Raw genomic sequence first — 25014 nt, forward strand, 5'->3', positions numbered from 1 at the left:
TGACCTCAGGTGCCAGCAGGCATCACCCATGGCTTTTTCCTCCCCATTGTCATCTAATGTGTTTATTTATTTATACTTTTTGTAGAGATGGGGTCTTACTATGTTGCCCAGGCTGGTCTCAAACTCCTGGCTTCAAGTGATCCTCCCGCCTTGGCCAAAGTGCTGGGATTACAGGCATGAGCCACCATGCCCGGCCCTGTCATACAGTTTTAGAGGCTGGGAGCTAGAAGGGTTGACCAGGATGGCAGCCTGTACAGGATCCCTCTCTGCAGCTTGCCCGCACTGTGGATCTGCCTAAGGCCAGGGCATGGGGGAAGCCTGAGGGATGCTGAGGAGCACAGGTCCAGCTCAGTCTCCCAGAGAGACTAAACATGGGTGGGTGACAATGATGCCTCTCTTCCTCTGGGACAAGGCAGTGACTCCAGGCTATGTGATCTGTCTCTCCAAACCCATAGGGAGCTCAGAGGATCAATCTTGTTTAATGATTGTATGTGGGAGGAGGTGGGGCTGGTTAATGTTTGTCTGGTTCCTCTTGGGCTGTGGGCCATTTCTGGCTCTGGCCCTGGGTTCGTTGTCCCTCCCCTGGGCTGGGCTGACAGTACCTGGTGGCATAGGGCAGACACGCCTGCAGACATTCTCTGGGAAAGGGCAGCAGCAGCCAGGTGTGGCAGTGACAGGGAGGTGAGGAGACTGGGGGCTGAGGGAGGTGGGCCAGGGAGGGCTGATGTGGCACAGTGGGCCGGAAATAGGGGCCGGGTCTTGCCTTCTACTGACCTCCGCCTTCAGCCACTTAGGTCCCTTCCATGCTTCCCTCTGAAGCTGGGGTGAGGCCCCTCCTGCCAGGTGCCAGACTTGCTTAGCCTCTCTCTGCAGCCTCTTTCCAGGTTCAACATTGCTTTTCCTCTCACTTTTTTTCCTCTGGCCAAAGATTCCCCTTATTCCCATAGGGCCAGATTCTCAGGAAGACTTGAGGGACCCCCTAGGTGCAAGGTGGCCAAGTTTGTCTCTCTGAGACATTTCCTGCCACACAGGGTTAGGGTTTAGTGGGAATGTTGGGCACTGCCAGGTGCTGTTTTCCTTCCTTGATTACAAGGCAAGCCAGGCATGCACCCAACACGGGGCTGCGAGTGGATGAATAAAGCGTGCTCAGCGGGCTGCAGAGGGCTAGCCAACAGGGCCAAGGATTTGGGAGCGTGTGTTTCCACTTTCTTGAAGGAGGCAGACTGACTCAAGCTGAACTTGGAGTAATTGATGGTTCGGAGATTTTTTTTTTTTTTTTGAGACGGACTTTCACTCTTGTTGCCCTGGCTGGGGTGCAATGGCGCAATCTCGGCTCACTGCAACCTCTGCCTCCCGGGTTCAAGCGATTCTCCTGCCTCAGCCTCCCGAGTAGCTGGGATTACAGGCATGCACCACCATGCCTGGCTAATTTTGTATTTTTAGTAGAGACGGGGTTTCTCCATGTTGGTCAGGCTGGTCTCAAACTCCCAACCTCAGGTGATCTGCCCGCTTCGGCCTCCCAAAGTGCTGGGATTACAGGCATGAGCCACCACGCCCGGCCGGTTTGGAGATCTAAAGGAGGGGTGTTCCCCAGCTGTTTGAAAGTTGTTGCAGCTGTTGGGAATGGCACAGCAGAATGTGTAAACTTAGAAAATGAAATGAGGAGAGGAGAATACAGACAAGAGGGGTTTTAATGGAGAGAAGTATAGATTAGAATGCAGCCTGGCAATGGAAAAGGGACCCAGGCTTGGGTGAGGGGCCAATACGATTCCTACTCTGAGCTCCAGCACTTGCTTACCACCTGTGTAGTAAGTTACTCAGCTTCTGTTAGCCTTCATTGCCTCACCTGTGAGTTGAAGACAATAGCTCCTGGCTCACGGGGTTGTTGTGAGCGTGAGAGTCTGTGAATATACACACAGGGGGCACTCCATAAATGGCAGCTGTTATAATAACCCAAGCAGAGAGCAACAGGAAGTCAGGTGGGTGATGGAGGAGTAAGGGAGTAGCGTCCAAACAATGGGGAAGGGAGCTGGCATAAGCAGAAGCTCTCTGAAAAGACCGCAGCAGAGAGGGGGAAAGAACAAATCGGAATGAGCTAGACTGGACCTGACCCAAGCCTGGCCACGGAATATGTATGGCAGGGTGGAGAGGCTAAGTCCAGTGACTGAGATATTGCAGAACTGCAGGGTGGAGGCAAGAGAGAGAAGCAGGGGAAGGGGAAGAGAGCTGGAGGAGTTTGGCCTTAGCCACACCAAACTGATGAAGGCAGCCAGAAATTCCTAAGGAAATCTCAAAGAAAGCCCCATGTCCCTTCCTGACCAGTGACTGCCTGCGAAATGGGGGAGGGAGCATGGAGTCCGAGGCTGAATGTAACCTCATCCATCCCAGCCCACCCCTCTTCCCCAAACCCCAAATCACAAGGATTTTCCTGTAGTTGGAAGGATAGGGAGGAGGTGGGGGCAGAAACAGAGAGAGACAGAGACAGACTAGACGAATGTGTGTGTGTGTGTGTGTGTGTGTGTGTGTGTGTGCGTGTGCCAGCACACGCAGGAAAGTGTATAGGTTTTTGAATAGTAGGCCTGGTCTCAGAATGCAAACTCCTTAAAGGAAGAGAGGCCGCCATAAGCAGCGCCATATACAAAGACTTTGAGGTAAGAAAATAAACTTGGAACTTGATTCTACCATTTAGCAGCAGTGCAATTGCCGTTGAGGCAAGTTTCTTAACCTCTCTGAGCCTCAACTTCCTTGTCTGAAAAATGGGGATAATATTACAGGACTGCTGTAAGGACTAAGTGAGATCACCTGATTTTGCACTGTGCTTGAGTGCTAGGGCAAATCTAAATCTGGGGACAGGGCCAGAGCCTGACAAGGCCAGAGAAGTCCTGTCTAATTAAACATGAGAGCAAAACACGCGTGCAGCAACACCGAGGATATCAATACGGGGACTTTAACCCGAAGTCACAAAAACAGTTTGGATTTCAAAATCAGGTCACTCCCCTGGATGTTTTTAGAATGAAATCCTTGAGGCATTGATATTGACATAGGGATCAGTTCTCCTTCCAAAGGTAACAGCAAAAATTGAGATCACAGCACCCAGACAAGGGTCCTTAGAGGCCCCACAGGGAGCTACTGGCTATGTCCCAGAAGACTCAAGAAGAAAAAAGGCGGGGAGTTACAAGAACCTAGAAACTCAGGGGTGGCCAGGATGTCTGTGGCACACCCCTGAAGGGCAGAGAAGAGAACAGCTAAGGTTTGCTTTGCAGTTTGAGGAAGCAGCCCAAGAAAGGTAAGGAAAGGAAAAGCAGACCAAATCAAGAGGCAGCAGAAAATCCTGGGACAGAAGGAGAGGGAAAGAGTTGTCAATTGCTACAACAAAAGTACCTTAGAAAAAAAAGAGCTGGGCCAGGCACAGTGGCTCACGCCTGTAATCCCAGCACTTTGGGAGGCTGAGGCAGCAGGATTACCTGAGGTCAGGACTTCGAGACCAGCCTGGCCAACATGGTAAAACACCATCTCTACTAAAAATGCAAAAATTAGCCAGGTGTGGTGACACGCACCTGTAATCCCAGCTACTCGGGAGGCTGAGGCAGGAGAATCATTTGAACCCAGGAGGCGGAGGTTGCAGTGAGCAGAGAGCGTGCCACTGTACTCCAGCCTGGGTGACAGAGCAAGACTCCATCTCAAAAAAAAAGAAAAGAAAGAGTTGTCAATTGATAGGAAAGGGGAGAAGGGGCTAAAAGAAAATAAGACATAGCAGTTTTGAATCTCCCTGTTCCTTTTTTTTTTTTTTTTCAATCTCCCTGTTCCTAAAAAGTACCCACAGAAAGAAAAGTTATACCTGTAGCCAAGTAGAGCTTATGGGAAAGAGTATGTGCTCTGCGAGAATCACTTGAACCCGGGAGGCGGAGGTTGCAGTGAGCCGAGATCGCGCCACTGCACTTCAGCCTGGGCTACAGAGTGAGACCCTGTCTCAAAAGAAAAAAAAAGTGTGTGGCCAGGCACGGTGGCTCACGCCTGTAATTCCAGCACTTTCGGAGGCCGAGGCGGGCGGATCACGAGGTCAGGAGATCAAGACCATCCTGGCTAACACGGTGAAACCCCATCTCTACTAAAAATACAAAAAAATTAGCCGGGCGTGGTTGCGGGGGCGCCTGTAGTCCCAGCTACTCAAGAGTCTGAGGCAGAAGAATGGCGTGAACCCAGGGGGCGGAGCTTGCAGTGAGCCGAGATCGCGCCACTGCACTCCAGCCTGGGTGACTGAGCTAGACTCCGTCTCAAAAAAAAAAAAAAAGTGTGTGTTCTGGAGTCAGCTTGACCTGGTTCAAATCCCAGCTCTATCACTTACTGACTATGTGACTCTTAGATAAGTCCTTTCACCTTTCTTTGCCTCTGTTTGCTCATCTGTGATATGAGGATAAAGCAACACTTACCTCAAAAAGTTCTTTTAAGGATTAAATGACAGTGCATGTGCAGGGGCCTGGCATATAACAGGTACTCAGTAAATTTTTTTTTAATAAAAATGCTACAATGTTGAGGTGGTCTTATTATTATTATTATTATTATTATTATTATTATTATTTTCTGAGACAGGCTGGAGTGCAGTTGGCGCAATTGAAGCTCACTGCAGCCTCGACCTCTTGGACTCAAGAGATCTGCCTGCCACAGCCTCTTAAGTAGCTAGGACTATGGGTGAATGGCACCAGCCACCATGCCTGGATAATTTTTGTGTTTCTTTTTTTGTAGAGATGGGGTCTCACTATGTTGCCTATGGCTGGTCTTGAACTCCTAGACTCAAGCGATACTCCTACCTCTGCCTCCTTTTAATTTTTTTTTTAAGAGACGGGGGTCTCCATATGTTGCCTAAGAATAACCTGGCCAGGGGCCAGGCGCGGTGGCTCACGCCTATAATCCCAGCACTTAGGGAGGCTGAGGCAGGTGGATCACGAGGTCAGGAGATCGAGACCATCCTGGCTAACGTGGTGAAACCCCGTCTCTACTAAAAATACAAAAAAAAATTAGCCAGGCGTGGTGGCGGGCGCCTGTAGTCCCAGCTACTCGGGAGGCTGAGGCAGGAGAATGGCGTGAACCTGGGAGGCGGAGCTTGCAGTGAGCTGAGATCGCGCCACTGCAGTCCAGCCTGGGCGACAGAGCGAGACTCCCTCTCAAAAAAAAAAAAAAAAAAAAAAGAATAACCTGGCCAGGTTATTCTTTTATTATTATTATTATTTCTTTTATTCTTTTTTTTTTTTAAGAGGCAGAGTCTCGTTCTGTCGCCCAGCCTGGAGTGCAGTGGTGGGATCTCAGCTCACTACAACATCTGCCTCCCGGGTTCAAGCGATTCTCCTGCCTCAGCCTCCTGAGTAGCTGGAACTACAGGCATGCGCCACCACGCCCAGCTAATTGTTGTATTTTTAGTAGAGACATGGTTTCACCACGTTGGTCAGGCTGGTCTCGAACTCCTGACCTCAGGTAATCCACCAGCCTCTGCCTCCCAAAGTGCTGGGATTACAGGCGTGAGCCACTGTGCCTGGCCTTTTTTTTTTTTTTTTTTTTTTGAGACAGCCGGCTAATTTGAGACACCTGGCTAATTTTTTGTATATTTAGTAGAGACGGGGTTTCACCATGTTAGCCAGGATGGTCTCGATCTCCTGACCTCGTGATCCACCTGCCTCTGCCTCCCAAAGTGCTGGGATTACAGGCGTGAGCCACTGTGCCCGGCCTTTTTTTTTTTTTTTAAATATAATAGAGACGAGGGTCATGCTATGTTGCCCATGATGGTCTCAAACTCCTGGGCTCAAGCAATCCACCCACCTCAGCCTCCCAAAGTGCTGGGATTCGAGGCGTGAGCCACTGCGCCTGGCCTAGGTTTTGTTTGTTTGTTTGTTTGTTTGTTTGTTTGTTTGTTCGTCTTTTCCGAGACGGAGTCTCACTCTTTCCCCCAGGCTGGAGTGCAGTGACGGGATCTCCACTCACTGCAACCTCTGCCTCCTGGGTTCTAACAATTCTCCTGCCTCAGCCTCCTGAGTAGCTGGGATTACGGGTGCCCGCCACCACACCCAGCTAATTTTTGTATTTTTAGTACAGACGGGGTTTCACCATGTTGGTCAGGCTGGACTTGAACCCCTCAGTGATCTGCCCGCCTAAGCCTCCCAAAGTGCTGGGATTGCAGGCGTGAGCCCCTGCACCCAGCCGGTTATTCTTAATAATTCTCTGGCCACCTGTTCTAGAGTGTAACACATCTCACCACCTGAAGCATTTCTTTTCTTTCTTTGTTTCTTTCCTTTTTTTTTTTTTTTTTTTTTTTTTGAGACAGAGTCTCGCTCTGTCACCAGGCTGGAGTGCAGTGGCGCAATCTCGGCTCACTGCAATCTCCGCCTCCTGGGTTCAAGCAATTCTCCTGCCTCAGCCTCCCAAGTAGCTGGGATTACAGGTGCATGCCACTACACCCAGCTAATTTTTGTAATTTTAGTAGAGACGAGGTTTCACCATGTTGGCCTCGATCTGCTGACCTCGTGATCCGCCCGCCTTGGCCTCCCAAAGTGTTGGGATTACAGGCGTGAGCCACCTTGCCCAGCCCCTGAAGCATTTCTTTATGGCTAACTGTGGTGCCTAGTGCAGCAGCTTTGCATATAGAATCCCAGGCTTGGGAGAAAGGGCACCCATAGCCCTGCTTCCCCATGCTGGTTGGCACATGACATGAACTCACTAAGGCTTTTTATTTATTTATTTATTTATTTATTTATTTATTTATTTATTTAGCTAAATGAAGAAACCTTGTTCTGAGAAGTAACCTATGTCCTGTGGACTGTCCTTCTTTCCCCAGATTCTTTCATCCCATTTCCCAACTTTTGCAGTTGCTGTTACCCCACCCCTTTCCTCTACAGCATAGAGGACCACCCAGGGCTGAATATGAGGCTTCTTCCACAACCAGTTGCTCTGCTGTGGAGCATGCACTGGGGTCAGGAAATGACTCCAGGGATCACTGCACCTCCTATGGTCCAGGGCTGCATGTCCTCCTCACATTCAGTTTCCTGCTGCTAGTATGATCTCCTTGCAACTTAATGGCAGAAGTGGCAAGAGGTGGGAGAAGCCTTCTTAGCCTGCCTAAGGGATAGAGGAGAATTTCCTCCCTAGAGCAACTGGCAAGCTCCTGAAACCACGAGGTTGCAATATGCACTTGGGGTTGGGGGCTGGGCAGCAATGGGGTCTCAGACAGACCCTATAGGTCAACAACAGCATTGGGGACTGCTCAAGGTGGCTCACACCTGTAAACCCAACACTTTGGGAGGCAAAAGTGGGAAGATCGCTTGAGCCCAGGAGTTCAAGACCAGCCTGGGCAACATAGCAAGCCCCCCATCTCTACAAAAAAAAAAAATTGAAAAATTAGCTGGGCATGGTGACACATACCTGTGGTCCCAGCTAATTGAGAGGCTGAGGTGGGAGGATCGCTGGAGCCCAGGAGGTCAAGGCTGCAGTGAGCAGTGATTGTGCCACTGCACTCTAGCCTTAGTGATATAGCCAGACCTTGTCCCCACCCTCTAATAAAAAACAACCCACAGCATTAGGGAGAAAAAGGAGAGATCTTGGGTTTGACAGACCATTTATTCCCCCAAAGCAACTTTGTTATCTTTTCCTGAGAAGATTTTTTTTTTTTTTTGAGACGGAGTCTTGCTCTGTCGCCCGGACTGGAGTGCAGTGGTGCAATCTTGGCCCACTGCAACCTCTGCCTCCTGGGTTCCAGTGATTCTCCCACCCAGCAGCTGGGATTACAGGCATGCGCCACCACACACGGCTAATTTTTTGTATTTTTAGTAGAGATGGGGTTTCACATTGTTAGCCAGGATGGTCTTGATCTCCTGACCTCAAGTGATCTGCCCACTTCAGCCTCCTAAAGTGCTGGGATTACAGGCGTGAGCAACGGCGCCCAGCCTTTTTTTTTTTTTTTTTTTAATGGTTAGCCTTTGCTTTCTACAGACACTATCTGCAGAAGCACAGGGAGCCTGCTGTAGAAAGACTTCTGTCTCAGATACATTGTTTCATCCTACCTATCCTACCGCTTTGGAACGGTGTGACCTTGAGGAGTTACTTATCTGAGCTTCAGCTTCTTCATCTGGAAAATGGGATAACAGGCTTCCTAAATGGGTCGAAAGAAAAAATGTATGGAACAACGCTCAGCACAGTTTGTGGCTTCATAAATGAGCTCTCTTTCCTGTCCTCTTTCCTCTCCATATTCCGGAGAGGATCTAAGCCTCAGGGAAAATCCTGGTGACCTTAAGCTTCTGACGGGGCCATGGGGGAGGGCCTCAGCCCAGAGCCTCTGGGTCCCCTGGGGTCCCCTCTTCACATCCACCTGCCTGTGTTTTATCTCCCTCCCCCCGCCCCCCCGTGGCCATTCTTCTGGTGGGGCTATGGGGCGGGTGCGGCGATGGACCGGGCGGGCACAGAACAGGTGGGTGCAGGCTGGGTGTCCGGCGCTGGGACACAAGTGCTCTGTGTGTAGGGTGGGCGGAAGTCAGGGCGTTTGATCTGAATTCTAAAGGGCGTTGTTCAGAGCCCCACAAAGGTCTCATTGTGCAGACACTGGGTATAAAGCAGCATATGACTCCCCAGCACCGGGCGGTGATGAATTGGGACGCAGGCGCGGAGCCCAGGGACCACTCCCCCTGCACAGACATGAGACCATAGGGGACCTGTCTGGGTGGCCTCAGGGATAGGCGCTCCCCAAGGTAAGAGGGCTTTGTTGAGTTTGCCCCAGGTCTGGAGTTAAGGAGCTAGGGGACAGGGAGCCATAGGGGATGGCTGATATCGGAACAAGATGGGCTTGGCAAAGAAAGGGGCTGGCGGGAAAAGAATGTTGGATGAAAGCGAAGAAGGGGGATGGGGCTCAGGGAGGTCAAGTCAAGTGAGTGAGGAGGAGGAGAAGCTGGCAAGGGAGATGGGGTGACGAGGAAAGACATGACCATCCTTCCTTTCCTGCTACTGGCTCTTGGAAGAGTTGAGGGGGGGTGCGCAGGCAGTGCTATGGCGCCCGACTTTCCACCCCAGCTTTCTGACAGCTTGCTTCATGGCTGGTGTTTTGCAGGTGTGAATGAGGCAGGATGAACTGGACAGGTTTGTACACCTTGCTCAGTGGCGTGAACCGGCATTCTACTGCCATTGGCCGAGTATGGCTCTCGGTCATCTTCATCTTCAGAATCATGGTGCTGGTGGTGGCTGCAGAGAGTGTGTGGGGTGATGAGAAATCTTCCTTCATCTGCAACACACTCCAGCCTGGCTGCAACAGCGTTTGCTATGACCAATTCTTCCCCATCTCCCATGTGCGGCTGTGGTCCCTGCAGCTCATCCTAGTTTCCACCCCAGCTCTCCTCGTGGCCATGCACGTGGCTCACCAGCAACACATAGAGAAGAAAATGCTACGGCTTGAGGGCCATGGGGACCCCCTACACCTGGAGGAGGTGAAGAGGCACAAGGTCCACATCTCAGGGACACTGTGGTGGACCTATGTCATCAGCGTGGTGTTCCGGCTGTTGTTTGAGGCCGTCTTCATGTATGTCTTTTATCTGCTCTACCCTGGCTATGCCATGGTGCGGCTGGTCAAGTGCGACGTCTACCCCTGCCCCAACACAGTGGACTGCTTCGTGTCCCGCCCCACCGAGAAAACCGTCTTCACCGTCTTCATGCTAGCTGCCTCTGGCATCTGCATCATCCTCAATGTGGCCGAGGTGGTGTACCTCATCATCCGGGCCTGTGCCCGCCGAGCCCAGCGCCGCTCCAATCCACCTTCCCGCAAGGGCTCGGGCTTCGGCCACCGCCTCTCACCTGAATACAAGCAGAATGAGATCAACAAGCTGCTGAGTGAGCAGGATGGCTCCCTGAAAGACATACTGCGCCGCAGCCCTGGCACCGGGGCTGGGCTGGCTGAAAAGAGCGACCGCTGCTCGGCCTGCTGATGCCACATACCAGGCAACCTCCCATCCCACCCCCGACCCTGCCCTGGGCGAGCCCCTCCTTCTCCCCTGCCGGTGCACAGGCCTCTGCCTGCTGGGGATTACTCGATCAAAACCTTCCTTCCCTGGCTACTTCCCTTCCTCCCGGGGCCTTCCTTTTGAGGAGCTGGAGGGGTGGGGAGCTAGAGGCCACCTATGCCAGTGCTCAAGGTTACTGGGAGTGTGGGCTGCCCTTGTTGCCTGCACCCTTCCCTCTTCCCTCTCCCTCTCTCTGGGACCACTGGGTACAAGAGATGGGATGCTCCGACAGCGTCTCCAATTATGAAACTAATCTTAACCCTGTGCTGTCAGATACCCTGTTTCTGGAGTCACATCAGTGAGGAGGGATGTGGGTAAGAGGAGCAGAGGGCAGGGGTGCTGTGGACATGTGGGTGGAGAAGGGAGGGTGGCCAGCACTAGTAAAGGAGGAATAGTGCTTGCTGGCCACAAGGAAAAGGAGGAGGTGTCTGGGGTGAGGGAGTTAGGGAGAGAGAAGCAGGCAGATAAGTTGGAGCAGGGGTTGGTCAAGGCCACCTCTGCCTCTAGTCCCCAAGGCCTCTCTCTGCCTGAAATGTTACACATTAAACAGGATTTTACAGTAAATGAAGAGGTGGCTTGTGTGTTTGTCAAGTTCTTTCTCCTGCAACCTCTGACCTCCCCCAGGATGAGCTGGCCTTGGTTTTTTACTGATTAAGAAAGGAACAGGGCAAAAGAAGTAGTTACTTGAGTAGCTGAAGCTGCAAATGAGGAAATCACTGTACTTCTGGGCCGCAGAGCCAGCCCCGGAGCCATTCCTCCCTGTTGCTTTTGTTGTTGTGGTTCTTGTCTTTTTCATTGTCTAATAACAGCTTTATTGGGATTTAGTTTACATACCTCCTTCCTCTGATTTTGAAAAGATTAAAAATGACAACTCCCTCTGAAGAGACAAGAAATGATTGGGAAATTTCTCCTGCCCCAGAGAGTGGCACAATTCCCTGGGTACCTCGGTGAGAGCCCCTCCCCCGCACATCTGGAGACCTATCTCCTTACTCCCTCCAAACTCAGCATCCCCTACAAGCTGATGTCCCACAGTCCACCTGTTGGGTTGCACGATGACCCTGACCCCTTTCAGCTGGACAGAGCCCCTAATTTCATCCTCTTTCCCAGTTTCCTTCTCTCAGGAATCAATGCTTCCCACTCCAGAGATGCCTCCACACAGGTCAAACATTTCATAGCAGCAGTTTCCTCACCAGCATCACCCTCCCCTGTCAGCTGTGGTAGGAAATGCCCCAGGCTGAGACTTGGAAAAGCTGCGCTGGAGTCCTGATGCTGTCACTTAGTAGCGGGGCATTCCCTTCCCCGAACCTCAGCTTCCTTATGAGCAAACGAGAACTGGCCCAGCACATCTCTCAGCTCCCTTCAACACTCTGTGCTTCTGGGATTCCTGAAAGATTTCCCCAAGTAACAGTGCATTATCTTCCCCCAGCCTCACAGGGGTTTCCTTAGAGTCACTGCCCCCACAAATAGCCTCTCAGAGTAAAAGTTTCCCCCATGGCAAGTTTGCCTCCTCAGCTTCCTTACCTCCGAACAGGAGAAATTATTTGCCACTCCCTCTCAGAGTATGTGGACTCCATGTAGGAAGTGCTGGATATCAGAAAGGGAGAGAAAATCAGACACAATCTCATGTGAATTGTTCTCCCTTGAGACAGTTTTTCCTCTTTGGAGAGAAAGCATGGAAGTTTTCTTTATTTGAGATTTCTCCTTTAGAAAAAAAAAAAAGGAAGACTGGATGTGGTGGCTCATGCCTGTAGTCCCAGCACTTTGGAAGGCCAAGGGGAGAGAATCACTTGAGCCCATGAGTTTGAGACCAGTCTGAGCAACATAGAGAGACCCCATCTCTACAAAAAAAATAAAATAAAACAATTAGTCAGGTGTGGTGGCATGTGCCTGTAGTCCCAAGCTATTTCGGATGCTGAGGTGGGAGGATAACTCGAGCCCAGGAGGAGGTTGAGGCTGCAGTCAGCTGTGATCACGCCACTGCACTCCAGCCCGGGCCAGAGAGTGAGACCTTGTCAAGAAAGAAACAAAGAAAGAAAAGGAAGGAAGGAAGGAAGGGAGGGAGGGAGAGAGGGAGGGAGGGAGGGAAGGAAATGAGACCTTTAGAGGCCGAAGCAAGAGGATTGCATGAGGCCAGGAGTTCAAGACTAGCCTGGACAGCATAGCAAGATCCTATCTCTATTTTTTTTTTTTTTGAGACGGAGTCTCGCTCTGTCACCCAGGCTGGAGTACAGTGGCGCGATCTCGGCTCACTGCAAGCTCCACCTCCCGGGTTCACGCTGTTCTCCTGCCTCAGCCTCCCGAGTAGCTGGGACAATAGGCGCCCGCCACCACGCCCGGCTAATTTTTTTTTGTATTTTTAGTAGAGACGGGGTTTCACTGTGTTAGCCAGGATGGTCTCAATCTCCTGACCTCGTGATCTGCCCGCCTCGGCCTCCCAAAGAGCTGGGATTACAGGTGTGAGCAACCGCGCCCGGCCTCCCATCTCTATTTTTAAAAAATTGAAAGAAAGAAAGGAGAGAGTAAGTATTCCTTTCCACCACACTTAGTAATCCCTGAGAGAGAGCTTCCTCTCCCTTAAAAGAGGAACATTCCTTTCCTACAAGAAATTTCCTTTCCCCTTAGAAACTGACATTATGTTCCATCAGAGGAGAGGTCCCCACCCCCTCACGGTGAGAGAGATTCCTTTTCTTATCGAAATCCATCCTTTTCACCCACAACAATACAACAAACACATCCCCTCTCCATACAACATGCCATCAGGAGAAAGATTTTCTTTTTAAAATTCCATCCTGGTCCTGGTCGGAAGCAGGGAACCTCATGCCCTCTCCACATTGAGAAATGCTAACCCCCACCATCACATCAGAAATGTAGTTTCTCTTCAAAGATTCTACCAATCCCCCTTGGAAAGAGGCTCCAACTCTATATCAAGGCTTTCCTCTCCAGGGGGCAGTGGTGGGACAATAAAGCTATCAGGCTGGGTGTTACAGCCCAAGTGGGGGACACAGGATTCTTGGGTCCCATGAACCAGGTAGGAACAGGCCCAAGGAACCTTGAGGGGAGCTGGTGGACACAATGTCTCAGGGAGGTAGGAGGCAGAGTTAGACTGACTCCAAGACTGACTTTTCAAATCAGGCTCTGTCACAAGAGTATAAGAGAGAGACACAGAGGCAAATGAGGCATGCTCTCTGCCACGCAGTAGAAATTCAATGTGCTGAGTGACCTGGGTTATGAAGAGGACACTGGAATTAGGAGACCTCGTTCTCCACTGATGAGCTCTGTCCCCTTGGACACGTGATATTTACCCTCTCCAGGTCTGTTTCCTCATCTCCAATAGAGAGTTAATAATAACCTCTCTACCTCTTTCACAGAACTTTTTTGAGAATCAGACAAGATGTGTTCAAAAGCTGGTTATGAACTAACGGTAAAGTAAGGTAAGATAGTATCATAAGCACTGAGACCATGGCCTTACGACATGCTAGAATTCTCAATGAGCCAGAAAGGAGTGAGGCTGGTTCAGGTAGGCTGAAGCTAGTTAAAACAATTTGGCAATAATAGTGTTGGCTCCCCCAGGGAGTGGACACCAGTCCAAACAGCAAAGTCCAAGAGAGGTTGCAAACCTGAGCATGATTCATTTAAGGGTCAATATTCAAGGGGTCTGATCAGGGGGCAGAAAAGGCATAGTAACAGGAAGCTCTTGCATGCTGTATCTCATGGAACTGGTCCTTTTAGGAATGTCTATGATCTTTTAGAGGTGTCTATGCACAGAGATGCCAGGAGCTGGGGGGCAAAGGAACAGAGGCAGATGAACTAGGAGAGTAATCAAGGCCTCCAGCCAGCTGAGTTGGGGTTTGAAAGCAAGCTGTGGTATCCATAGAGAATTGGCATGGCAACCACAAACTGGTTCAGATGTTCAATCAGATAGCCTGGGTGCACACAGTGGGGGCTAGAGGGGAATGCTTGCTCCATTTACTGATTCCAAAGTACTTAAATGCCAGACCTGGCCTATGGTGCAGAAGGGGCTACACAATCGTACCAAGCTAAGCTCCTGTTGATTCCTGGAGTAGGCCAGGGAGAATGTACAGGGTCAAATGGAAAATGGATTGGGACATTCCAGCAAGGGGCAAATAAAACAGACAAAAAATACCCTACAGATATGACAGGAATTGGCTGGGCACAGTGGCTGTTGCCTGTAATCCCAGCAATTTGGGAAGCCAAAGCAGGCAGATCACTTGAAGCCAGGAGTTCGAGACCATCCTGGCCAACATGGTGAAACACTGTCTCTACTAAAAATACAAAAATTAGCCAGGCGTGGTGGCACATGCCCATAGTCCCAGCTACTCAGGAGGCTGAGGTGGGAGAATTGCTTGAATCCGGGAGGTGGAGGTTGCAGTGAGCCGAGATCGCGCCACTGCACTCCAGCCTGAGTGACAGAGTGAGTGAGACTCCATCACAAAAAAAAAAAAAAAAAAAAAAAAAAGCCAGGCACGGTGGCTCACGCCTGTAATCCCAGCACTTTGGGAGGCCGAGGCAGGTGGATCACTTGAGGTCAGGAGTTTGAGACCAGCCTGGCCAACATGGTGAAACCCCGTCTCTACCAAAAATACAAAAATTAGCCCCGTGTGGTGGCGCACGCCTGTAATCTCAGCTACTTGGGAGGCTGAGGCATAAGAATCGCTTGAACCTGGGAGGCAGAGGTTGCAATGAGCCGAGATCATGCCACTGCACTCCAGCCTGGGTGACAGAGCGACTCTGTCTCAAAAAAAAAAAAAAGGTATGACGGGGGTGATACCTTCAAACTTGTGTGTTTGGAAGGTCAGCCAGCAGCTGCATGGAGACTGGATTGGGGATTGAAGACTGAGACAGATTGACCAGGTACTGCCAGGTGCAGTGGCACACCTGTGGTCCCACCTACTTGGGAGGCTGAGGTGGAAGGATTCCTTGAACCCAAGACTTTGAGACCAGTCTGGTCAACATAGTGAGACCCTGTCTCTAAAAAAAAAGACCAGTTATGGAGCTGTTGCAATAGCCCAAGTGGCGCCTGTAGGACTAGGACAGTGGCAGAGGAATATGAAGAGGAGACAGGTGTGAGAGACATTTTGGATGTAGAACCTACAACAGGACTTCATGTCTGAGTTGTGGGGTGTGGAAGAGCCAAAGGTAATTTGAGGTTTCCTTTCCCTCCTTTGACTGGAAAGCTCCTAATCATTCAAAACTCATCTCAAACGTCGTTTCCTCTGTGAAGCCATCAACTCTTCTTTCCCCGCTGATCAAGTCCCTTGGAGAGACTCTCCAATTCAGACCTCCACTCTGAATTCCCACAATATGACTGTGGTGTATGTGATAAGAGCGCTTATCACATTATATGGTGCCAGGTGCGGTGACTCACACTTGTAATCCTAGCTGCTCAAGAAGATGAGGTGGGAGGATTGCTTGGAGACCAGCCTGGACTACACAGTGAGACCCCATCTCTAAAAAATACCACCACCACCACCACCACCACACACACACAAAAAAGAAAAGCACACAGGCCAGGCACAGTGGCTCACGCCTGTAATCCCAGCACTTTGGGAGGCTGAAGCAGGCGGATCTGTTGAGGCCAGGAGTTCAAGACCAGCCTGGTCAATATGGCAAAACCCTGTCTCTATTAAAAATACAAAAATCAGGCAGGCGTGGTGGTGGGCGCCTGTAGTCCCACCTACTCAGGAGGCTGAGGCAGGAGAATCAGTTGAACCTGGGAGGCAGAGGCTGCAGTAAGCCGAGATCGTGCCACTGTACTCCAGCCTGGGTGACAGAGTGAGACTCTGAAAAAAAGGAAGGAAGGAAGGAAGGAGGGAGGGAGGGAGGGAGGGAGGAAGGAAAGAAAGATTAGCTCATAAAATCTGTCTTAAAAAAAGAAAGAGGCCAGGTGCGGTGGCTCACGTCTGTAATCCCAGCACTTTGGGAGGCCTAGGCAGGTGGATCTCTTGAGGCCAGGAATTGGAGACCAGCCTGGCCAACATGGCGAAACCCTGTCTCTATTAAAAATAGAAAAATCAGCTGGGCCTGGTGGCACTCGCCTGTCATCCCAGCTACTTGGGAGGCTGAAGCAGGAGAATTGCTTGAACCCAGGAGGGGGAGGTTGCAGTGAACTGAGATCATGCTATTGTGCTCCAGCCTGGCTGACAGAGCAAGACTCCATCAGAAAGAAAGAAAGAAAGAAAGAGAGGAAGGAAGGAAGGAAGGAAGGAAGGAAGGAAGGAAGGAAGGAAGGAAGGAGAAGGGGAAGGGGAAGGGGAAGGAAGAGGGGGAAGGGGGAAGGGGGGAAGGGAGGGAGGAAAAGAAAGAAACTATTGTGTGGTAATCACTTGCATAAGCTTAACACATAGTAGGTGCTTAGTAGCCTGTGGGATTCAGGGCAGCGGGGAGGAAGACATATGCATGTGCAAAGATTCAGAGTCGTGAGAGAGTAGAATGTGTTCACTGTGACTAGAGCAGAAAATGCATGGGATGGGGAGTGGGGTGGTTGCAGTAGGAGGTGAGACTGGCAAAGCAGGTCGGGGCTGGTCAGTGAAAAGTCTCATAGAAATGCATGCAGGTTTGCACAGGAGTCTGGACTCCAGTATCACGTGTAGAAGCCCTTCTGACATAAAAGTTAAGCCCCTACTAGACTAACAGGCAATTCTGTACTCATGATCATGGATGGACTGTAGAGGTCTTCAGGAGATCCAGATCAGGGCAGACCTTTGCACAAACAGATGTGTTAAAGTTGACAGTGAACTATGGAAGAAAGACCAGAATTATTTGAAAGTGGACTTCAAGGAGAAAGCGTAATTTACACAGGATGGTGACCAACTGTTCTCCATTTTTTTCACCACAACTGAAGCCCCTGTGAAAAGTTAGTGTCACATAGTGATTAAGACCAATGTTGGCCAGGTGCAGTGGCTCACGCCTGTAATCCCAGCACTTTGGGAGGCTGAGGTGGGCAGATCGCCTGAGGTCGGGAGTTCGAGACCAGCCTGACCAACATGGAGAAACTCTGTCTCTGCTAAAAATACAAAATTAGCCAGGCGTGGTGGCGCATGCCTGTAATCCCAGCTACTCAGGAAGGCTGAGGCAGGAGAATAGCTTGAGCCCGGGAGGCGGAAGTTGCAGTGAGGCGAGATCGCACCATTGCATTCTAGCCTGGGTAACAAGAGTGAAACTGTCTCCAAAAAAAAAAAAAAGCATTGTTTACTTCCTACTTTTGTGAGTTTGACCATGTTACTTGGCCACTCTAGGCCTTAGTTTCCTCATCTATAAAGCATGAGTACCTGTGTCACAGGGCTGTAGTGAGGATTAAATGTGTCCATTATATATAAAGCACTTCAAACAAGGCCTGGTCGATAGTAAGCCCTACACAAGGGTGTGCTGTTATTATTTCATCTCACCATCTTCGCTGTTTCTCCAGCTATTCACCAATTCTCTCAAACACTGAGTTAAACTCTGTCTCACCTAATTAACATGCTTGCTTTTTTTTTTTTTTAGACAGGGTCTCACTCTGTTGCCCAGGCTGTAATGCAGTGGTGCCATCATAGCTCACTGCAACCCCAAACTCCTAGCTCCAGTGATCCTCCCTCCTCAGCCTCCCAAAGGGCTGGGATTACAGGCGTGAGCCACTGTGCCTGGCTTAACATGTTTTCTTGACTGTCTAACTGTCCATAGTCATGTGCGTGTGCTTAAGCAAGCAAGTCTGTATGTTTGCATGCATATGATATATCATTGTATTGATACATATGACCACATTAACATGTATGTGGGAGGATGGCTGTGAGGGGAGTGCCTTTTTTTTTTTTTTGAGATGGAGTCTTGCTCTGTCGCTCAGGCTGGAGTGCAATGGCGCAATCTTGGCTCACTGCAACCTCCGCCTCCTGGTTTCAAGGGATTCTCCTGCCTCAACCTCCTGAGTAGCTGGGATTACAGGCGTGTCCCACCAACCTGGCTAATTTTTGTATTTTTTTTGTAGAGATGGGGTTTCACCATGTTGGCCAGGCTGGTCTCCAACTCCTGACCTCAGGTAATCCGCCTGCCTTGGCCTCCCAAAGTGCTGGGATTACAGGCGTGATCCACTGCGCTCTGCCAAGTGCCTTAACTCTTAATGTAGTTTTAATGAAAAGGATGTGTCCCAATCATAATATGGTCTGCAACTTTATTACCAGACTTAGAAATGACTTAGGTGGGCCAGGCGCACCATACTATGGAGCACCTAATATGTGCCAGATTTGGTGCTACATTAAGCACTGACATGTATAATCTCAGTACTGGCAAGGTAGCTATTATTATCCCCATACTTGTAGATGAGGAAATGGAGACTCAGAGAAGTTAAGTAATATGTCCAAAGGTTGCACTGCAGAGCTAGAATTAAAACCTAGTCCCATTCTAATCCAAAACCTGCACTGTTTCCTCTATTCCAAAGTAACCACTCTGGCTGGGCACGGTGGCTCACGCCTGTAATCCCCACACTTTGGGAGGCCGAGGCGGGTGGATCGCTTGAGGGCAGGAGTTCCAGACCAGCCTGGCCAACATGGCAAAACCCTGTCCCTATGAGAAATATAACAATTAGCCAGGTGTGATGGCACATGCCTGTAATCCCAGCTACTCGGGAGGCTGAGACAGAAGAATCGCTTGAACCTGGGAGGCGGAGGTTGCAGTGAGCCGAGATCGCGCCACTGCACTCCAGCCTGGGTGACAGAGACTCCCTCTCAAAAAAAAAGCAAACACAAAAACAAACAAACGAAAAGCCAAAGTAACCACTCAATGCTGCTTTAGGAAGTGTTTCAGGATATGTTGGGTGGGGTGGGGGTGGGGAGCTCAGTATGATATGAAAATATCCCTAAGTACTAATGTGCTGGAAAACAACATGTTTGTACAGGATCCCTAAGGTTAAGAGAGAGAAATGGTGAAAGTTGAGGAAGGGGCTGCCCTGCACTCAGGCAGGGAAGGGCAGTTTTGTGGGGAGAGGGCCCTTCCCAGGATGTCTACCTGGAGCAGGATCCAGAAATTGTCCATCCCTGGGAAGGGAGGCAACCTGGGGAGTGCAGGGAAGATGTGGAGAGACAGTTATTCAGAACCCCTTAACCTTCTTTGGCCTAAGTCAAGATAAGCTGTTGAAACTGTCACCCTTTCTCTCCCTTCACCTTAGGGATCCCAAACACACTTTATTTTCCCACAGTCTCCCCTAACCCCTTTCTGTTTCTGCTCCAGCTTTCTTCAAAGGACAAAGCCTTTCATTCCTCAGTTAGAGATAATTGTCTTGAAATGCAGATACCTGGGAGAACTCATTCACACTAAAATATAATCAATTAACAGACAAACAAGTTCTGGTAATTCTGCTTTTCAAATCTTTCTCAAATCCCTTTTCTCCTCAGCATCCCCATTGTCACTGCTACTTTCCTTCAAGGCCTTGCCAGAATCTAACTGATAATGTGGACGAGACTGAACTTGGATTAAAACACTTGCTCCATGCCGGGCACTGTGCTAAACATTACCTCCTTTAATCCTCACTATCACTGAGGCAAGCTCCGTCTTGTTCGCGTTTTACAGATGAGGAAACCAAGGCTCAAGTAGGTTAAGTAACTTGCCTTGGTCACACAGGAAAGAAAGGGCGGAGCTGGGGAACTGGAATTCACATCTGGTGGATGCCAAAGGCAAAGCACTAACCATTTCTTTTTCTTTCTCTTTCTTTCTTTCTCTTTTTCTTTCTTTCTTTCTTTTCTTTCTTTCTTTCTTTCTTTCTTTCTTTCTTTCTTTCTTTCTTTCTTTCTTTCTTTCTTTCTGAGATGGAGTCTCGCTCTGTCGCTCAGGCTGGGGTGCATTGGCATGATCTCTGTTCACTGCAACCTCCACCTCCCAGGTTCAAGTGATTCTCCTGCCTCAGCCTCCCGAGGAGCTGGGATTACAGGTGCTTGCCACCACACCCGACTAATTTTTTTTAAATTTTTTAGTAGAGACAGGGTTTCACCATGTTGGCCAGGATGGTCTTGAACTCCTGACCTCAGGTGATCCACCAGCCTCAGCCTCCCAAAGTTCTGGGATTACAGGCGTGAGCCACCTCACCCAGCCAGCACTAACAATTTCTATACCATACTTCCTCCCTGTAACTGGCCCCTGGAGTTTCTTCAGTACCCAGTTCTACATCTCCCCCAGACATACTAGAGTCACCTTAAAACATGAAGCATACCCTGCCAATTCTTAGTGAAAGTTTTTTCATGGCTTTCCACTGCTTGTAGGAAAAAGTATAACAGGAAGACAGACTAGGATAAAGTATGACCATCCCAGCTTGCCAGAACTGAGGGATTCTCAGGATGCTGAACTTTCTTTCTTTCTTTCTTTCTTTCTTTTTTTTTTTTTTTTGAGACGGAGTCTCGCTCTGTCGCCCAGGCTGGAGTGCAGTGGTGCTATCTCGGATAACTGCAAACTCCGCCTCCCGGGTTCACGCCATTCTCCTGCCTCAGCCTCCTGAGTAGCTGGGATTACAGGCGCCCGCCACCACGCCCGGCTAATTTTTCTATTTTTTTAGTAGAGATGGGGTTTCACCATGTTAGCCAGGATGGTCTCAATCTCCTGACCTTGTGATCCACCCACCTCGGCCTCCCAAAGTGCTGGGATTACAGGCGTGAGCCACCACGCCTCGCCAGGATGCTGAACTTTCATTGCTGAAACTGGGGGAGTCCTGGGCAAACTGAGATGGTTGGTCACTCTAGCAGGGTGTGGCATGGCATAGCATTCAATGCCTTTCACAACCTGACCTCTATTTATTTTCCCAGCAACACCTCCCACCACCCTCAGCCTTTCCACTACGTCCTCTCCACCTTCTTTGCAGCCCAGCCACCCTTTCCTGCAGACACTCGGTGCTGTGTTATGCCTCCATGCCTTTGTTCACACTGATCCCTGCACCTCTACTCTGCCTGACAAGCTATTGCCCACTCTTCATGAAACCCCAGCTCCCATGTCACCTCTGTAATCTTTCTTTCTTTCTTTCTCTTTCTTTCTTTCTTTTCTTCCTTCCTTCCTTCTTTCCTTTCTCTCTCTCTCCCTTCCTCCCTGCCTGTCTCCCTTCTTTCTCTTTTCTCTTTCTTTGTTTTCCCTTCCTTTCTTTCTTCCTTCCTTCCTTCCTTCCTTCCTTCCTTCCTTCCTTCCTTCTTTTATTTCTTTCTTTTTGAAACGGAGTTTCACACTGCCACCCAGGCTGGAGTGCAGTGGTGCGATCTAGGCTCACTGACACCTCTGCCTCCCGGGCTCAAGCGATTCTCCTGCCTCAGCCTCCTGAGTAGCTGGGATTACAGGTGCCCGCCAGCACGCCTGGCTAATTTTTTGTATTTTTAGTAGAGACGGGGTTTCACTATTTTGGCCAGGCTGGTCTCGAACTCCTGATCTCATGATCTGCCTGCCTCGGCCTCTCAAAGTGTTGGGATTACAGGCATGAGCCACTGTGCCCGGCCTCTTTTTTTTTTTTTTTCGATGGAGTCACATTCTGTCGCCCAGGCTGGAGTGAGTGGCAACCTCCACCTCCCGGGTTCAAGTGATTCTCCTGCCTCAGCCTCCCAAGTAGCTGAGATTACAGGTGCCCACCAAGTTGAGCTAATTTTTGTATTTTTAGTAGAGAAGAGTTTCACCTTGTTGGCCAGGCTGGTCTCAATTACAGGCATGAGCCACTGCACCCGGCCACCTCTAACCTTTCTTGATTTCCTGGGAGAGAGTGAGAAACAATTACATTCTACCTTGGCTATTTTATTGACATGTGAGTCTTTCCCAGGGTCAGGACTGGGGTGAGGCAGTCGAGGCACCTAGAAGGCAAATGTAAGGAGGCACTCCCTCTTGGGGTCATACAAATGCCAACCCTGTACGTATGTAACCCTGAGAACAAGTGCCCTTACATTTTTCACCCTAGGTGCCTCAATTGCCTCACCCAGTCCCAGCCCTGGTCTTCCCTATCAGACTAGGAACTTCTCAAGAGTAGACCCCAGGTTTTTGTTGTTGTTGTTGTTGTTGTTTGTTTGTTTGTTTGTTTTGGAGACAGAGTCTCGCTCTGTCACCCAGGCTGGAGTGCAGTGGTGCGATCTCAACTCACTGTAACCTCTGCCTCACGGGTTCAAGCGATTCCCCTGCCTCAGCCTCTGGAGTAGCTGGGACTACAGGGGCCAGCCACCATGCCCAGCTAATTTTTGTATTTTTAGTAGAGGCGGGGTTTCACCATGTTGACCAGGCTGGTCTCGAACTCCTGACCTCAAATGATCCACCCACCTTGGCCTCCCAAAATGCTGGGATTACAGGCATGAGCCACTGTGCCAGCTGACCCTAGGTTCTTATTCATGTTTGTATTCATAGTAACATGAGGCTCAGAACAGAGTAGATATCTAGTTGAACAAATGACATCAGGCCCTTCTCTGTTTCAACAAGGGAAGAAGGTAAGAGGAAGTGGATAGTTTGGCACCCTTCTCTCATTGTGAATGGGAGAAGGAGAAGGTCTATTTAAGACTTCATCCTGGCCTGGACTGCAAGGACAGTTTTTCATCAGGTGGTTATGTCTTTGGCATCTGTCAGATTTGGGGTTCCTCCTACTTCTCTGGTCTCTCCCTCTCAGTGCCTTTCTCTGGTTAACTGGAGACATTCTCCAAAGTACTGTGTTTGGGTTTTTTGTCCTCTTCTGTCTTCACTCTATGTTCCCAAGTGACCTTGTGTACTCCCAGAGCTTCAGCGAGAAGCTCTGCAGATGACTTCTAAATTAACACCTCATCTCTCTCCTAAGCCTCCGACTTGAATTTCTAACTGCCTACTACATACGGTAACGTGTAGCATCAATATTTGTTCTTTTGGGTCTGTTGTCTCATCTGACCTTCTCAACACTTCTGTGAGAAAGTCAGGGCAGAATATGAACTCATTTTTTAGGTGAGGCTCGAAAAGGTTGTCTTGCCCAAGATTTTATGGCAGACCTATGATTAGAAACTCAAGTCTGGGTGTTCTCTCTGCTGTGCCATGTTGCATGGTGCACCACAAGGGTGTTTCAATGGAGTCTTGAAACCAATGTGATAAAAATCTCAACTTATTAGCAACATTCTCCTATCCCTGACAGCACACACACACACACACACACACACACACACACACACACACCCCCCGAAAAAAAAAAAAAAAAAAAACTTGGCTGGGCATGGTGGCTCATGCCTGTAATCCCACCACTTTGGGAGGCCGAGGCGGGCAGATCACGAGGTCAAGAGATCAAGACCATCCTGGCCAACATGGTGAAACCCCGTCTCTACTAAAAATACAAAAATTAGCTGGGCATGGTGGTGCGTGCCTGTAGTCGCAGCTACTCGGGAGGCTGAGGCAGGAGAATTGCTTGAACCTGGGAAATGGAGGTTGCAGTGAGCCGAGATCGCGCCACTGCACTCCAGCCTGGCAACAGAGTGAGACTCCGTCTGAAAAAAAACAAAAACAAAAAAAAACTTGTCCCTGTGCTACCCATCTTGGTTAAAGGCATCTCACTCTCCCAGTCATCAAGGCTAGAAGCCTGGGGTTCATGCTCAATTCTTCCCTTTCCCCTAACCTTTATAACCTTTACCTTTTATTATTATTATTATTATTTTTGAGACGGAGTCTCACTCACTCTGTCACCCAGGATGGAGTGCAGTGGTATGGTCTCGGCTCACTACAACCTCCGCCTCCCACGTTCAAGCAATTCTGCCTCAGTCTCCTGAGTAGCTGGGATTACAGACACCTGCCACCATGCCTGGCTAATTTTTGTGTTTTTGGTAGAGATGGGGTCTCGCCATGTTGGCCAGGCTGGTCTCGAACTCCTGACCTCAAATGATTCACCAGCTCTGCCTCTCAAAGTGCTGGGATTACAGGCATGAGCCACCCCCCCAGAACCTTTACTTCTAATGATTCATCAGATCCTGCAGACTTGACCTTCAAAATGCCTGAAATTTACTTTGAATCTATCTTTTTTTCCCTTCCCTATCCCCACAGTCCCCATTGAGGTCCACAGAACCTCTTAGCCATACTCCTTCCACCAATCTCCAGGCTTTCAGGCCTACTCCCACTCGCTATTCTTCATATTGTTCTGGGGATTGTCTCCCTAAAGAAATAGATCTGAGCCTACCACCCCTTGGTTGGAAAAATCTCAGCCTTGCACTTCCCACCTCTACATCTGTGGCCTCCCAACCCTTTCCACTTTGTGTTTGAGGCCCAGGTCTAATGCCACCTCCCTTGGTAAACCCTCACATAGCCTCCCTATAAACGTGTGTTGTCTGTTTTCTAGACAAAGTTTCACTCTGTCACCCAGAATGGGTGCGGTGGGGTGGTCTGGGCTCATTGCAACCTCGCCTCCCAGGCTCAAACGATCCTCCTCAGCCTCAGCTTCCTCAATAGCTGTGATTACTGGTGTGCGTCACCATGCCCAGTTAATTCTTGTATTTTTGTTAGAGATGGGGTTTTGCCATGTTGCCCAGGCTAGTCTTGAACTCCTGGGTTCAAGGAATCCTCCCACCTTGGCCTCCCAAAGTACTGGGATTACAGACGCAAGCCACTGCACCCAGCCTCCCTGTAAACCTGAAGTGAGTTATTTATTCCTCTGTCCTCCCATAGCACTATTCATTTTATTCTGCCTGTATTATGACTAATTGTGTACTATTTGGTCTCCCCTATAGCCTGGGAGCCTGCTGGGGATTGGATCCTGGTCTAACCAGTCTTTTTGTATTTTTTGAAGCACGTAATCTAGGTCTTTAAACATAATAGGTCCTTAATACATAGCTAGTGAGTGAGTATTTTTTTTTCCTTAAGTGTTTGGAAACTTGTTATAAAAAAAAAACAAAAACAAAAACAAAAAAAACAAAAAAAACACCACATTCCCAGTAGATCCAAAGTAAGACAGTAAAGTAAGAACGATTCTCAAACACCTGACTTGTTTACACTTGGAGAGATTTGAAGTTATCCAGTGTTGCTCCTCTATATCCATCACCCAGAAAAGACAAAA

At 49.5% G+C, this 25014-nt stretch overlaps 1 protein-coding gene across 3 annotated transcripts; it reads left to right on the forward strand.

Moving 5' to 3' along the window:
* GJB1 (gap junction protein beta 1) lies at window positions 630–10907 on the forward strand. Of its 3 annotated transcripts, NM_001440770.1 has the most exons (3): window positions 630–681; window positions 7975–8157; window positions 9083–10907. In NM_001440770.1, exon 3 carries the CDS (start codon window positions 9099–9101, stop codon window positions 9948–9950), a length of 852 nt encoding a protein of 283 aa, NP_001427699.1. In that variant the 5' UTR covers window positions 630–681; window positions 7975–8157; window positions 9083–9098; the 3' UTR covers window positions 9951–10907. The 3 variants fall into 3 exon arrangements, with proteins under 3 accessions (NP_001427699.1, NP_001091111.1, NP_000157.1); NM_001097642.3 differs by lacking the exon at window positions 7975–8157; NM_000166.6 differs by lacking the exons at window positions 630–681; window positions 7975–8157 and adding an exon at window positions 8615–8726.

The sequence above is a fragment of the Homo sapiens genome, chromosome X (assembly GCF_000001405.40).
Source record: "Homo sapiens chromosome X, GRCh38.p14 Primary Assembly".
Lineage (NCBI taxonomy): Eukaryota > Metazoa > Chordata > Mammalia > Primates > Hominidae > Homo > Homo sapiens.

Coding starts and splice junctions, on each gene's coding strand:
- GJB1 (NM_001440770.1), top strand. CDS start 9,099: ATGAACTGGACAGGTTTGTACACCTTGCTCAGTGGCGTGAACCGGCAT.